The following is a 17,079-nucleotide window of genomic DNA, read 5'->3' on the forward strand; positions in this document are numbered from 1 at the left end:
TAAAATAACAGAAATCACAACAAACTGCCTCTCAGATCACAATGCAATCAAATTAGAACTCAGGATTAAGAAACTCACTCAAAACCATGCAACTACATGGAAACTGAACAACCTGCTCCTGAATGACTACTGGGTAAATAATGAAATGAAGGCAGAAATAAAGATGTTCTTTGAAACCAATGAGAACAAAGACACAAAGTACCAGAATCTGTGGGACACATTTAAAGCAGTGTGTAGAGGGAGATTTATAGCACTAAATGCTCACAAGAGAAAGCAGTAAAGATCTAAAATCGACACCCTAACATCACAATTAGAAGAACTAGAGAAGCAAGAGCAAACAAATTCAAAAGCTAGCAGACGGAAAGAAATAACTAAGATCAGAGCAGAACTGAAAGAGGTAGAGACACAAAAAACCCTTCAAAAATCAGTGAATCCAGGAACTGGTTTTTGAAAAGATCAACAAAATTGATAGATTGCTAGCAAGAATAATAAAGAAGAAATGAGAGAAAAATCAAATAGATGCAATACAAAATGATAAAGGGGATCTCACCACCAATCCCACAGAAATACAAACTACCGTCAGAGAATACTATAAACACCTCTATGCGAATGAACTAGAAAATCTAGAAGAAATGGACACATTCCTGGACACAAACACCCTCTCATGGCTAAACCAGGAAGAAGCTGAATCTCGGAATAGACCAATAACAGGCTCTGAAATTGAGGCAATAGTTAATAGCTTACCAACAAAAAAAGTCGAGGACCAGACAGATTCACAGCCGAATTCTACCAGAAGTACAAAGCACAGCTGGCACCAGTCCTTCTGAAACTATTCCAATCAATAGAAAAAGAGGGAATCCTCCCTAACTCATTTTGTGAGGCCAACAACATCCTGATACCAAAGCCTGCAGAGACACAACAAAAAAAGAGAATTTTAGACCAATATCCCTGATGAACATCGATGCGAATATCCTCAATAAAATACTGGCAAACTGAATCCAGCAGCACATCAAAATCTTATCCACCAAAATCAAGTTGGCTTCATCCCTGGGATGCAAGCCTGGTTCAACATATGCAAATCAATAAATGAGATCCATCACATAAACAGAACCAATGACAAAAACCACATGACTATCTCAGTAGATGCATAAAAGGCCTTTGATAAAATTCAACAGCGCTTCATGCTAAAAAACTCTCAATAAACTAGGTATTGATGGAACATATCTCAAAATAATAAGAGCTATTTATGACAAACCCACAGCCAATATCATACTGAATGGGCAAAAACTGGAAGCATTCCCTTGCAAAACCGACACAAGACAAGGATGTCCTCTCTCACCATTCCTATTCAATATAGTGTTGCCAGGGCAATCACGGAAGAGAAAGAAATAAAGGGTATTCAATTAGGAAAAGAGGAAGTCAAATTGTCCCTGTATGCAGATGACATGATTGTATATCTAGAAAACACCATTGTCCTCAGCCCAAAATCTCCTTAAGCTAATAAGCAACTTCAGCAAAAGCTCAGGATCAAAATCAATGTGCAAAAATCACAAGCATTCCTATACAATATTAACAGACAGAGAGCCAAATCATGCGTGAACTCACATTCACAATTGCTATGAAGAGAATAAAATACCTAGAAATCCAACTTACAAGGGATGTGAAGGACTTCTTCAAGAACTACAAACCACTGCTCAATAAAATAAAAGAGGATGCAAACAAATGGAAGAATATTCCATGCTCATGGATAGGAAGAATCAATATCATAAAAATGGCCATACTGCCAAAGTAATTTATAGATTCAATGCCATCCCCATCAAGCTACTAATGACTTTCTTCACAGAATTGGAAAAAACTACTTTAAAGTTCACATGGAACAAAAGAGCCCACATTGCCAAGACAATCCTAAGCAAAAAGAACAAAGGTGGAAGCATCACGCTACCTGACTTCAAACTATATTACAAGGCTACAGTAGCCAAAACGGGATGGTACTGGTACCAAAACAGATATGTAGATGAATGGAACAGAACAGAGGCCTCAGAAATAATGCTACACATCTACAACCATCTGATCTTTGACAAACCTGACAAAAACAAGCAATGGGGAAAGGATTCCCTATTTAATAAATGGTGCTGGGAAAACTGGCTAGCCATATGTAGAAAGCTGAAACTGGATCCCTTCCTTATACCTTATACAAAAATTAATTCAAGATAGATTAAAGGCTTAAATGTTAGACCTAAAACAATAAAAACCCTAGAAAAAAACCTAAGCAATACCATTCAGGACATAGTCATGGGCAGGGACTTCATGACTAAAACACCAAAATCAAGGCAACAAAAGCCAAAATTGACAAATGGGATCTAAGTAAACTAAAGAGCTTCGGCACAGCAAAAGGAACCATGATCAGAGTGAACAGGCAACCTACAGAATGGGAGAAAATTTTTGCAATCTACCCATCTGACAAAGCACTAATATCCAGAATCTACAAGGAACTCAAACAAATGTACAAGAAAAAAACAACCCCATCAAAAAGTGGGCAAATGATATGAGTAGACACTTCTCAAAAGAAGACATCTATGGAGCTAAGAGACATATGAAAAAATGCTCATAATCAATGGTCATCAGAGAATGCAAATCAAAACCACAATGAGATACCATCTCACACCACTTAGAATGGCAATCATTAAAAAGTCAGGAAACAACAGATGCTGGAGAAGATATGGAGAAATAGAAACGCTTTTACACTGTTGGTGGGAGTGTAAATTGGTTCAACCATTGTGGCAGACAGTGTGGCAATTCCTCAAGGATGTGGAACTAGAAATACCATTTGACCCAGCAATCCCATTACTGGGTATGTGCCCAAAGGATTATAAATCATGCTACTATAAAGACACATGCACACGTATGTTTATTGTGGCACTATTCACAGTAACAAAGACATGGAACCAACCCAAATGTCCATCAATGATATACTGGATTAAGAAAATGTGGCACTTAACACACCTTGGAATACTATGCAGCCATAAAAAAGGATGAGTTCATGTCCTTTGCAGGGACATGGATGAAGCTGGCAACCATCATTCTGAGCAAACTATCGCAAGGACAGAAAACCAAACACCACATGTTCTCACTCATAGGTGGGAATTGAACAATGAGATCACTTGGACACAGGGCGGGGAAAATCACACACTGGGGCCTGTCAGGGGTTGAGGCCCTGGGAGAGGGATATCATTAGGAGAAATACCTAATGTAAATGATGGGTTGATGGGTGCAGCAAACCAACATGGCACATGTATACCTATGTATCAAACCTGCACGTTGTGCACATGTACCCTAGAACTTAAAGTATAATAAAAAGAAAAAGAAAAGAAAATTAGGCTCCACTTGTTCATTCACTGACTGATGGTGAAATAGCCAAAATGATCCTGAGTCAAAGTGATTGTAGTAATAGTGATAATGAAGATGACATTTAACAGTGATAACCACTGCAGAAGTGCCTGTAGGTTAATTACATGGTCAAATATATAATGAGCTTATTGAAGGACTAGGGCAGTATGCATTCATAACAAAACAAGAAATCATATTAGTTTATAAAATCAAAGAGAGACTTTGACAACAAATACAATTGTTAATAAGGCAAATGACTTTGGAGGAAACATTTTTAAATGCCTTCTGGCTGAATGCCTCCTCAACTCTAAATGATCCACCTCCTTGTCCCTCAACTGCTTCTGATGTTTTTTCTCACCTAAAAAAAATACATTGTATAGTATCCTGTTAATAAAAACACAGTATTATAGGTGGAGACTAAAATCCTTTTGTTGTTTGCAGTTGCTGTTATTTAACAGCTAATACAGGTATTCTGGTGATGCAACTGTGTTGCTTAGCTAAGCTGAACACATTATTTTTTCACTGGATTAATGGTATGTCAACTTGTTTACTGTTAAGTACTTATGTGCAAATAAGTGTGAGAAAAATGACTGCTTATCAGTAGCCTATAAATTCAGAGTCAGCAATGATGGTGATGTGGATAACCACAGATTGTTTGCATAGATGGCTGAGATAGGGATGCTTTTGCTTCCTGATGGTTTAATATACACAAATGTTGTTTTATGTGTAAAATTATTTAAAATATTGTGTAAATTACTTTTAGGTATGTATAAAATGTTTATATGTAATATAAGTGAATTTTATGCTTAGACTTGTATCCTCTCCCAATGTATCTCATTATGTATGTGCAAGTATTCCAAAATCCAAAAAAAAATTCAAACTTGGAAGCACTTCTGGTCCTAAGCATTTGAGATGAGAGATACTCAACCTGTACCATGTTTTCTTTATCCATTTATTTGTTGATGGGTATGAAGAATTGTTTTCCTCTTTTAACTGTTGTGAATAATATTGCAATGAACATGGGAGTGCAGATATCTCTTTGACGTACTGATTTCAAGTCTTAAGATATAAACCCAGAAATAGGATTGCTGAATCATATTGTAATTGCATTTCTCCTTTTTTGAAGACCTCTGTATTAGTTCATTTTCATGCTGCTGATAAAGACATACCTGAGACTGGGAAGAAAAATAGGTTTACTTGGACTTACAGTTCCACATGGCTGGGGAGGCCTCAGAATCATGGTGGGGGGCCAAAGGAACTTCCTCCATGGTGGTGGCAAGAGAAAATGAGACAGTGAGACAGATGCAAAAATGGAAAGCCCTGATAAAACCATCAGATCTCGTGAGACTTATTCACTACCATGAGAACAGTATGGTAGAAACTGCCACCATCATTTAAATTATCTCCTACCGGTTCCCTCCCACAACACGTGGGAATTATGGGAGTACAATTCAAGATGAGATTTGGGTGGGGACACAGAGCCAAACCATATCAGCCTCCATAAATTTTTCTATAATGGCTGTTGATATGATTTGGCAATGTGTCTCCACCCAAATTTCAGCTCAAGTTATAATTTCCAGGGGTTGAGAGAGAGACATGGTGGGAGGTGACTGGATCATTAGGGTGGTTTTCCCCATGCTGTTCTTGTGATAGTGAGTGTGTTCTCATGAGACCTGAAGTTGCTATAAGGGGCTCTTGCCCCTCCGCTTCCTCTCATTTGCTGCCATGTAAAAAGTGCCTGCTTCTCCTTTCACCACGATTGTAAGTTTCCTGAGGCCTCCCTAGCCATGCAGAACTGTGAGCCAATTAAACCTCTTTTCTTATATTAATAAATTGCCCAGTCTCTGGTAGTTCTTTATAGCAGTATAATAATGGACTAATACAGCAGTACTAATTTACGTTTATACCAAAAGTGTACAAGAGTTCCTTTTCCTTCATATTCTTGCAAACGCTTGCTGTTATCTTTTTGATACTAGCCATTCTGACAAGTGTTATGTGATCCCATTGTAGTTTTAAGTTGTACTTCTCTAATGATTAGTGATATGGAGCATCTTTTTCATATATCTTTTGAGAATTTACTTGTCTTCTTTTGAGAAATATCTATTCAGGTCCTTTGCTCATTTTTCATTTTTTTTTTTTTTCACTATTGACATATTGTGTCCGAAATTGGTGGGTTCTTGGTCTTAATGACTTCAAAAATGAAGCCACGGGCCCTCACGGTGAGCGTTACAGTTCTTAAAGATGGTGTGTCTGGAGTTTGTTCCATCTGATGTTTGGACGTGTTTGGAGTTTCTTCCTTCTGGTGGGTTCCTGATCTCGCTGGCTTCAGCAGTGAAGTTGCAGACCTTCACGGTGAGTGTTACAACTCATAAAGGCAGTGCGGACCCAAACAGTGAGCAGCAGCAAGATTTACTGCGAAGAGTGAAAGAACAAAGCTTTCACACTGTGGAAGGCATCCAGAGCGGGTTGCCGCTGCTGGCTTGGGCAGCCTGCTTTTATTCCCTTATCTGGCCCCACCCACATCCTGCTGATTGGTCCATTTTACAGAGAGCTGATTGGTGTGTTTTACAGAGAGCTGATTGGTCCATTTTGACAGGGTGCTGATTGGTGCGTTTACAATCCCTGAGCTAGACACAAAAGTTCTCCAAGTCCCCACTAGATTAGCTAGACACAGAGCACTTATTGGTGCATTTACAAACCTTCAGCTAGATACAGGGTGCTGATTGGTGTGTTTACAATCCTTTAGCTAGACATGAAGGTTCTCCAAGTCCCCACTAGATTAGCTAGACACAGAGCACTGACTGGTGCATTTACAAACCTTGAGCTAAACACAGGGTGCTGATTGGTGTATTTATAAACCTTTAGCTAGACATAAAAGTTCTCCAAGTCCCCACCCGATGCAGGAGCCCAGCTGGCTTCGTCTAGTGGATCCCATGCCAGGGCCGCAGGCAGAACTGCCTGCCAGTCCCACGCTGCGTGCCTGCACTCCTCAGCCCTTAGGCGGTCAATGGGACCAGGCGCTGCAGAGGTTTGGGCTGCACAGGAGCCTACCACAGTGGGTGGCTCAGGCATGGCAGGCTGCAGGTCCCGAGCCCTGCCCAGCGGGGAGGCAGCTGAGGCCCCGGTGAGAATTCAAGTGCGGCACCAGCCAGCCGGCACTGAAGGGGGACCCCGCATACCCTCCACAGCTGCTGGCCCGGGTGCTAAGCCCCTCACTGCCTAGAAGTCACGCTGGCCCGCCAGAGCTGCATGCAGCCCGGGTTCCCGCCCACGCCTCTCCCTCCAAGCCTCCCCACCTCCCCACAAACAGAGGGAGCCAGCTCTGGCCTCCGCCAGCCCAGAGAGAGGCTCCCACGGTGCAGCAGTGGGCTGAATGGCTCCTCAAGTGTGGCCAGAGCGGACGCTGAGGCTGAGGAGGTGCTGATAGCAAGTGAGGGCTGCTAGCACATTGTCACCTCTCAATATAAATTTCTTATGTATTTGGGATATTAATGCTTTATCAGATATATGGTTTACAAGTATGTTCTCTCAATCTGTAGGTTGTCTTTTCACTCTTAATTATTTTTTTTACTGTATAGAGACTTTTTAGTTTGATGTAATTCCATTTGTCCATTTTTGCTTTTGTTGCCTGAGCTTTTTGGAGTCAAATTTTTTAAAAAAATTATTGCACAGACCAGTGTTGTGTAGTTTTCCCTTATGTTTTCTGCTGGTATTATTACAGTTTCAGGTTTTATGTTTAAACATTCATCCCTTTTGAGTTAATTTTTGTTATGATGTAGAAGAAGCATCCAATTCCATTTTTTCTGCTTGTGTATATCTAGTTTTCTCAACAGCCTTTATTGAAAATACTGTTCTTTTCATTGTGTGGTATTGGTACTTTTGTTGAGAATCTATTGACCATAAAAGCGTGGATTTATTTCTGGGCTCTTTATTCTGTTCCACTGATCAGTGTGTCAATTTTGATGATAGTACCATGCAATTTTAGTTACTATAGCTGTGCAGTATAGCTTGAAGCCAGGTAGTGTGATGTCTCCAGCTTTGTTCTTTTTGATCAAGATTGCTTTATTTGTTGATTTTATGGTTCCATATGAATTTTTGAATTGTTTATTCCTATTTTGGTGAAAAATGACCATTGGATTTTTTTTTTTTTTTGAGAAAGAGTCTCCTTCTGTTTTCCAGGCTGGAGTACAGTGGTGTGAACATGACTCACTGCAGCCTCAGTGTCCTGGGCTCAAGGGAACCTCCTGCATAAGCCTCTGGAGTAGCTGGGACTACAGGCATGTGCCTCCATGCCCAGCTAATTTTCTTTTCTTTTTTTCTTTTTGTAGAAATCATGTTTTGCCATGTTGCCCAAGCTGGTCTCAATCTTCTGGGATCAAGAAATCCTACCACCTTGGCCTCACAAAATACTGGTATTACAGATGTGAGCCACTGCACCCATCTGACATTGGAGTTTTGATAGGGATTGCATTGAATCTGTAGAATACTTTGGTTAGTATGCACATTGAGACAATGTTAACCGTTCCAGTTCATAAACATGACACATCTTTCCCTTTATTTGTGTCTTCTTACATTTCTTCCATCAATGTTTTATGGAGGTCAGTGTGTAAATTTTTCACTTTTGTGGCTAAATATATTCCTGCATATATTTCCTTGAGAGTTTTTATCATGAAAGAATGCTGAATATGTCAAATGTTTTTCTGCTTCTAATGAGATGACTGTAAGATTTTTATCCTTCGGCCAGGTGCAGTGGCTCACGCCTGTAATCCAAGCACTTTGGGAAGCCAAGGCGGGTGGATCACGATGTCAGGAGATCGAGGCCATCCTGGCTAACACGGTGAAACCCCATTTCTACTAAAAATACAAAAAATTAGCCGGGCATGGTGGCGGGTGCCTGTAGTCCCAGCTACTCGGGAGGCTGAGGCAGGAGAATGGCATGAACCCGGGAGGCAGAGTTTGCAGTAAGCTGAGATTATGCCACTGCACTCCAGCCTGGGTGACAGAGTGAGACTCTGTCTCAAAAAAAAAATTATCCTTCATTCTGTTAATGTAGTGTATCGCAATAATAGATTGCACATGTTGCACCATATTTGCATCACTGGGATAAATTCTCGTTGATCTTGATGAATTATCCTTTAAATGAACTGTTGAATTCACTTTGCTGATTTTTTTAAAGATTTTTGCATCTATATTTATGAGAAATATTGGCCTGTACTTTCTTTTTCTTGAGTCTTTCTTTGGTTTTAGTATCAAGGTAATTCTGGTATCATAAAGAGCTCAGAAGTATTTCCTCTATTTCAAGTTTTTGGAATAGTTTGAGAAGGATTGGTGTTAGTTTTTTTGCTTGTTTGTTTGTTGGTTTTTGAGACAGAGTCTCCCTCTGTCACCCAGGCTGGAGTGCAGTGGCATGATCTCAGCTCATTGCAACCTTCACCTCCTAGGTTCAAGAGATTCTCCTGCCTCAGCCTTGCAAGTAGCTGGGATTACAGGCACCCACCGCCATGCCCAGCAAATTTTTGTATTTTTAGTAGAGATGGTTTCATCATGTTGGCCAGGCTGGTCTCAAACTCCTGACCTCAAGTGACCCACCTGCCTCAGCCTCCCAAAGTGTTGGAATTACAGGTGTGAGCCACCACGCCCTGCCTAGTTCTTTAAATATTTGATAGGATTCACCTCTGAAGCCATCAGATGCTGGGCTTTTATTAGATGGAAGAGTTTTTTATTACTGATTCCACTTTACTTGTTAAAGTTCTGTTCAGATTTTTTATTTCTCCTTGATTCACTGTTGGTAGGCTCTGTATATGTATATATTTAACTATTTCTTCCAGGTTATTCAGTTTGTTGACTTATAATTGTTCACATTAATCTCAGTTTTTGTATTTCTGTGGTATCAGTTGTTATATCTTTTTTCTCATTTCTCATTTTATTAATTTGTTTCTCTCTTTTCTCTTAGTCTACTAAGTGTTGATTTTATTTAATTTTTCAAAAGTCAAATCATGGGTTTTTTTTTCTATTGTTTACTTAATTTTTTCTTTTTTGGTATAGGCATTTATTGCTATAAATTTTCCTTTAGGTCTGCTTTTACTTTATCTTGTATATTTTGTTATGTTGCTTTTTTCATTTTCATTTGTCTCAATATATTTTTTATTTCCCATTTGGCTTCTTTTTGACCCATTGATTATTCAGTAACATATTCTTTAATTTCTATGTATTTGTAAATTATGCAAGATTTCTCCTGTTACTGATTTCTAGTTCATATCATTATGATAAAAAATTTTGATATGATTTCAATCCTCTTAAATTTATAAGACTTGTTTTGTGCCCGAACATATGATCTATCCTAGAGAAAGTTCCATGTGCCCTTGAGAAAAATGTGTATTTTTTTTTTTGCTATTGGATGGAATTTTTTGTATATGTCTTCTAGGTCCATTTGATCTAAAGTATATTCAAATCCAAAGTTTCCTTTTTAATTTTCTATCTGAAAGATCTGTTCACTGTTGAAAATGGAATATTGCAGTCCACTGCCATTATTGTATTGTAGTCTATCTCTCCCTTCAGTTCTGTTAATATTTGCTTTAAGTACTCCAATGTTGGGTGCAAATTTATTACAATTGTTATATCCTTTTAATGAACTGACCCCTTTTTCCTCACATAATAACTCTGTCTTGTTTTATAGTTTTTGGCTTAATATCTATTGTGTCTGATATAAATACATCTACCTCTGCTCTCTGTTGATTTTCATTTGCATGAAATATCCTTTTTCTTTCTTTCACTTTCAGTCTATGTGCATCTTTAAAGGTGAGGTAACTCTCTTGCAGGCAACTTATAGTAGGGTCTTTTAAACAAAATCCATTCAGCCACTCTATGCCTTTTAATTGGATAATTTAATCCATTTAACATTCAAAACTATTATTTTCAGGTAAAGACTTACTACTACCATTTCATGATTTGTTTTCTGGTTGTTTGGAATATAGTTTGTTTTTTTTCTTTCATGCTACCTTCCTTTGTGCTTTGATAGTTTTTTGGTTTGATGGTTTGATGGTTTTTGTAAGTATGCTTTGAATTCTTTCTATTTATATTTTGCACATCTATAGATGTGCTATTATGAGGCTTACATTAAGTATCTCAGACTTAGGCTATTTCAAGCTAAACACCACTTAACTTTGATCATATCTAACAACTCTTTCTTTTTATTTTCCCTTAATTTGATTTTTGATGTCAATATTACATAATTTTATCATTTGTTTTTCATAATTTATTTTGCCATAGTTTTTAGCAGTTTTATCCTTTAACCAGTATACTAGAATTAAAATTCCTTTACATACCACCATTTCAGACATAGAGTATTTGACTATGAATATATGTTACTTGTATCATTGATTTTTGTATTTTTGTACATTTTATGTTATTAATTAGTGAAATAATTTTTGTTTTTGTTTTTGTTTTTCAGCTTTGAGAACTAGATTAAGTAATTCCTGCAAGGCAAACCAAGTGATGATGAGCTCTCTCAGCTTCTGTTTGTCTGATAAACTTTCTATTCTCTCTCACTTCTGAAGGAAAGCTTTGCCAGGTAAACTATTCTTGGTTTACAGATTTAGTTTTCCTTTAGTAACTTGAATTATCATCCCAGTTTCTCCTGGCCTGCAGTATTTCTGCTGAGAAATCTGCTGATAACTGCACTGGGACTCCCTTTATATGGTATGTTCCTTATCTTTTGCTGCTTTCAGAATTATTCTTTGTCTCTCATTTTTGATAGTTTGATTACTATGCCTTGATAAACTCTTCCTTTCATTGAATTTACTGGAGATGTCTATACTTCTTCTATCTGAATGATGGCATTTTCCCCTAGATTTGAGAAGTTTTTAGCTATTAGTTTTAAAAATATAATTTTTGGCTCTTTTTCTCTCCCTCTTCTCCTTCAGGTAATTCTATTAAGTGAATGTTAAGTGCTCTGGATGGTGTGCCATAAATTCATAGGCTTTCTGTTTTCTTTTTCATTCTTTTTTCTTTTTGCTCCTCTGACTGAATAATTTCAAATGTTTCTGTCAAATTTCAGTCTTGAGCTCAATGACTTTTCCTTCTGCTTGATCAAACCTTCTGTTGAAGCTATTACATTTTTTAGTTCAGTCATTGTGTTCATCTCCAGGATTTCTATTTTTACTGTTTCAATTTTTTTCCAATGCTTCATTTTATTTGTGACTGATTTCCAAGTTTTATTTACCTTTCCATATATTTTTATATCTTTTAAATTCACTGAACTTCCCTAAGAGAACTGTTATTGTCATTTATTTTATAGATCTTAAAACTGTTTTTGTAATTATTTTATAGATGTTCATTTCTTTAGAGGCCACCATCTTTTGAAGATGGCATGATTCCATGATTCTTTATAATCTTTATGTTTTTACATTAGTATATGTGCATTTGAGGAGACATCCACCTCTTTTAGTCCTTACAGACATTTTTGGCAAGGCTATACCTTTACTATTAATTCTAGTATTTGATTCTAGATGGGCCAACTGATAATGGCACCAGGTAGGCAGAGCTTGCTGTTGGGTTCTCTAGCTTGCTGAGCCACCACCTTTGCTCTGAGGTCAGATGTGGCTGCTAGCTGAGCTTTGCTGTCTCATGAGACCATTGACTACATTCTGCAATTAGAGCTACTGGTTAGACACTGAAATTGCCTCTAATAGTGACAGAATGCATGACATATTTCTTAGTACAGTGGTACTGCCATTTGAGTTCTTAAATTTGAGCAGGGAGGCAGATTAGATCCTGAGGTTAAGCAGAATTACTGCTTGGTATAATTGAGACCACCTGCTATGCTCAGTAGAAAGGCATGGTTGAGGTTTGCCTTTTTGCCTGGGTAAAGCCTTTGAGTGGTATTTGAAAATGAGCTGAGCTGCTATTTGAAGGCCCAGGTGGCACAAGTCTAGCCCCTGTGCTTTACTGAAAAGTACTGTTTCAGGCTGTGGCGTCTTGAGGTGGACTTCAATGCTGAGCCAAGCCAGCATTTAAATCCCTGGATGGCACAAGTTTATATTCAGTGCTTTGGTGAAATACTCTGTGGCAGGCATCTCCTTCTCTGGGCCAGAACTTGGGATATGGTATGAGGCTAGGCGTGGAAGCTAGTAGTCTAGAAATTCAAGCCAGATTGAACTTTTCACTATATTTCTGTAAGTGACCAGCTTGTCCTTGTGCGTGGGCTATGTCACCATATTTCTGATTTGACACCTCTGCTAGCAGTAACATGGAGCTACCACCAAGATGTGCATGCTAGTCACTTTGAGCAGTGCCTCCTTTCTTTGTTTTTATCTGACCACAGGCAGTTTAGCCAGGCTGTTACCCTCTGTGTTTCCTGTAAGGTGAGATTGAAGTGGGATTCCTGAGAGGCCCCTTGGAATGCTAGGGAAGTTGGATGTCTGTTTCCAATTTTCTTTTACCCCTGTCTAAACCATGGACACTGGAGAATTTCCTTGTGAGGCATTGTGTCAACTTGAGGGAGTGGGAGGGGCAACAAAGTCGAAGTGAAACCATTTTTCTTACTCTTCTAATGTGGTTTTTATTCAGTTCTGTGATCCATGTGGGCATCTCAGGCCTATTTCTAAGTTTTGGGGTTTTCACCGAAGCATTCTTGTCTGTGTATGGTTGTTAGTTGAACTTTCTGTGGTGGAGAGAGAAACATGGGGTTTCCTATCCCATCACTTTGCTGATGTTACTTCCCAGGTAATCTCTATTTTTAAATATTTATCTTATAATCTTAATTTAAATTGTTACCATTGTTTTACAAATAGAAACACACTTAAAAGTATAATTTTAAAAATAATTTTTCTGAGCATATTGAGGGTGACGTGATTTATTTCTTGGAAACAGATTGGTAAGATACTGGCAGAGCAACAGATAAAGTCCAGGCTGATAGGATAGGACCATATGCAGAGTCCGTAAAGGAGAATTAGATGATTTCTTCTAGGTTTATGAACACATACATTCTTATCCCAAAACCTATTGCCACCAGCTTCATTGTTAAGATGTTGAGATAAAGACAGCATCATCTTCACTCTCTCTACTTTCTATTTCTAGTTGCCCTTAATACTTATTTTATATTTCTTAATTGTTTCTATTATGGAAACATACATAATCATAGGAGAAGTAGCCATAGAAATAGAAAAGCCATGTGATTTGTCTTGGTCACTGAACCCTCATTTTAATGATCCTGCCAGGAGCAGTGTCTCACACCTGTAATCCTAGCACTTTGGGAGGAATTCGAGACCAGCCTGGCCAACATGGTGAAACCCTGTCTCTACTAAAGATACAAAGAAATTAGCCAGGCATGGTGGTATGCACCTGTAGTTCCAGCTAAGGAGGCTGAGGCATGAGAATTGCTTGAACCTGGGAGGTGGAGGTTGCAATGAACTGAGATTGTGCCACTGCACTACAGCCTGGGTGACAAAGGGAGACTCTGTCAAAAAATAAGTTTATAAAAAATAAATAAAAGCTGCTTATTTTGATCACATAGAACTCTGTTTTGTGAGATCGTATGAGAATAATAGGGCTTGCTTTAAACATGTTGAGTTTATATTGCTGTAGCCAATGAATAAAAAAAGTAGCAAAAGAGTTTAACAAAACCCTTTTTTAATACACATTTACCAGGGTAATATAAAATCTCTGCGTATTTGCCATGAAAATTAGATATTTGAGATGATTTATAATAATGTTCACAATAATTATTTAACTTGTTAAACTTATTTTTGAATTTTTGTTAAACATAAAAGCCATTTACAAAAATACTGTACAATAACCTGTATGTGTCAGAAAGAAGTGACATATAAAGAGAAGAACAGACTTTAGAATATTTGCACTTCTTATTCTTTATCATCTTGGACTTTTGGGCAATGTACTACAGTTCTTGCATTCTCATTTTTATGTGGTATCTTATGTTAGAAGAGTATTAATCTGAGTAGTGTATTTCCATTGCTTTGGCCCTAGAGGTGATTAGTCAAACGAAAAAGCCATTAGTTAACTATTGCAAAATTCTCTGGGAAAGGTTAACAATATAATATTGCCATTTCCTTAAATATTTGTTAACCATAAACAGAAATAATCCAACCACCTTACTTCAACTGTGAATGTATCCACAGAATGCTTTCATTGGGAGTTTTGGATGTTCTAAATTTTTCATATACCAAAACTTAGGTCTTTGTATGAAAATCAGGAATCCTTACAGACCTGCGAATACTGGCTGATTGGCCTGATTTCATCCTCACTGTGAAGTATATATCCATAGCCATGAATTAAGCACTGTGAATGTGATAAACTGAGTTTCTACTGTAATTAAAAAGACCAGCATGACATTGTGTTACTATAATGCATGCTGACACCCAACCCATTAATGTTTCCTTTATTCTTCCTCCATCCCAGGGTTTCATTCATTTTAAAGCTAACAGAAAAACAACAGATTTTTATAATTAAGTTCCTGAGAAACCATGATAAATACAGCATTACACATACTGTCGATGATATTTTGGATTTTGTAAGACACCAGAGATCAAAACATGCCAAATTGGACTTCTTGTCATTGTCTATACAAACAAAACTCACAGACATCAAAGCCACTATGACCATGCTGCTGATGCAAGGACTGGTGTGTGCAAGAAAGTTTGTATTTGGAACCATCTCTATCTTACACTTTTCAAAGTAAGATAACCTAGGTACTTCCTACTTAAAACTCACATGTCAATATGTTTTTGTGCTTCTCAAAACCTTCCTGGGCTAAGGCACATGGAGCAAATGTTAATTTGCTCAAGAGTCCTGTCCTTTGCCTGTGTTTGTTACCATTAAACTATGACATGGGCATCATGGCTTCTCCTGAAGTCATTGTTTATGCTTTCATCATATTATTCTCCCTTGCAAATGCTATTGTTCCTGAGTATAATAAATCACCGGATTTCCTTATCGCAAGCTTGTTTGCCTTTCTTACTTGCTTTCTCTGTTATCTAATATTTTAGTAATAATAACAACTACTTTCCATTGAGTAGTTCATTTGTGTCAGGCCCTAAGCTAAACACTTTATGTTCATAATGATATTGAAGCAACATTACAAACTTATAAATCCTGTTAACAACCCCATATTTTAGATAAAGAAAAGAGGCTCAGAGAGGTTAAGTCGCTTACTCCAAGTCACACAGCTAGAGAGAAACCGATCAAGCTGTGAGCTTTGAGGTTCTAACCCAATGTGTCTAGTTCCCAAGTGTGTCCTCAAAGCCATCAAACTTTTCTTCTTCCTATTATATTCAGTTGGTCACAGAACTTTATTGCTATTTTTAAAAATATGAATATCTTCATTTCCATTCTTCCTTTCAACTATTTCAGCTTAAATTATTTCATTTATTTATTTATTTTTGAGACAGATTCTCACTCTGTTGCCTAGGCTGGAGTGCAGTGGTGCTATCATAGCTACCTGCAGCCTCAACTTTCTGGGCTCAACTGATCCTCTCACCTCAGACTTCCAAGTAGCTGGGACTACAGCGTGTGCCACCACATCTGGCTAATTTTTGTACTCTTTTTTGGTAGAGATGGGGTTTTACCATGTTGGCCAGGCTGGTCTCAAACTCCTGACCTCAAGTGATCCTCCTTCTTCGGCCTCCCAAAGTGCTAGGATTACAGACATGAGCCACCATCGTGCCTGGCCACAGCTTAAATGATTTTAAAATCTTGCAGTCATATCCTTAAATACTTGTTGTTGTCCTACAATATGACATTTAAACAGATTAGTTACTGTCACTAAATACTTCCAAAATGATAAATAAAATGTCAGATTAACCATGCAAATTTTAGTCAGCTTAAGTAATTTTTAATAAAGTGAGAAATGGCAGAATGGTATACCTTAATTCCTGGGAAAAATTTAGCATCATGTTTTTAAATGAACGACAGATGTTTTTAAAGTATCTATCTTGTTATTTGCAGCTAGTTTATAATATCTAAATATAGATCTCAAAATAGACATTTTAACTATTCAATGTAACTAGTTCTCTTTGAAATCTACTTTTCCGTGCATCATTTCACTCAAAGCAGAGAGCTCATTTTCAGTCAGGTATAATTTTATTACTATGCCCCTTTGGGGGGCACCGAAAAGATAATCAAGATAAATGATGTTTTTTATCATTTTTAATATTTTTTCTTAAAAAAATCAAGTTGACATACCATAACCTGTGGGCCATCTACCTATTTTTATAAAGAGAGTTTCATTGGAACCAGAGTTTGGAGTAGGGTTAGTTGAGTAAATACATTCTGCAAGTATAGAATCAGATCTTGTCTTTATTTAAATCTGTAATATTTTGTTCATTACATTTCTAAAAATAATTTAGATTTACAATATTGCACTAAAATATTATTTATCTTGATTCCTGAATGTTTTCCTCCCCCACCTTTACCCACTTAAATTTTGTGCCTGAGTCTGAAAAGTGAGTCTCACTCACTTTATCTTAGTTTTAAGCCTGGTATACATGTGTGAAACTGTCAATGCAATCAAGATGTTAAGCATGTCTGTCACCCCAAAAAGTCTCATGTCCCTTTGTAATCTCTTCCTTCTGCCACTCCCCACTTAGACCTCTCCCAGTAACCAGGTAACCACTAATCTGTTTTCTATTACCATATATTAGTTTGAATTTCCTAGAGCTTTATATAAATGACAATATA

General features: G+C 37.6%; 1 long non-coding RNA gene across 1 annotated transcript; it reads left to right on the plus strand.

Moving 5' to 3' along the window:
• The first annotated feature begins 5,645 nt into the window (after positions 1-5,645).
• Positions 5,646-15,342, plus strand: LOC107986235 (uncharacterized). The gene is made up of 3 exons (XR_001741519.3): positions 5,646-5,739; positions 10,838-10,957; positions 14,803-15,342. It is a non-coding gene; the product is annotated as an uncharacterized LOC107986235 (long non-coding RNA).
• The last annotated feature ends 1,737 nt before the right edge of the window (positions 15,343-17,079 follow it).

Source organism: Homo sapiens, chromosome 4 (assembly GCF_000001405.40).
Source record: "Homo sapiens chromosome 4, GRCh38.p14 Primary Assembly".
Taxonomy (NCBI): Eukaryota; Metazoa; Chordata; class Mammalia; order Primates; family Hominidae; genus Homo; species Homo sapiens.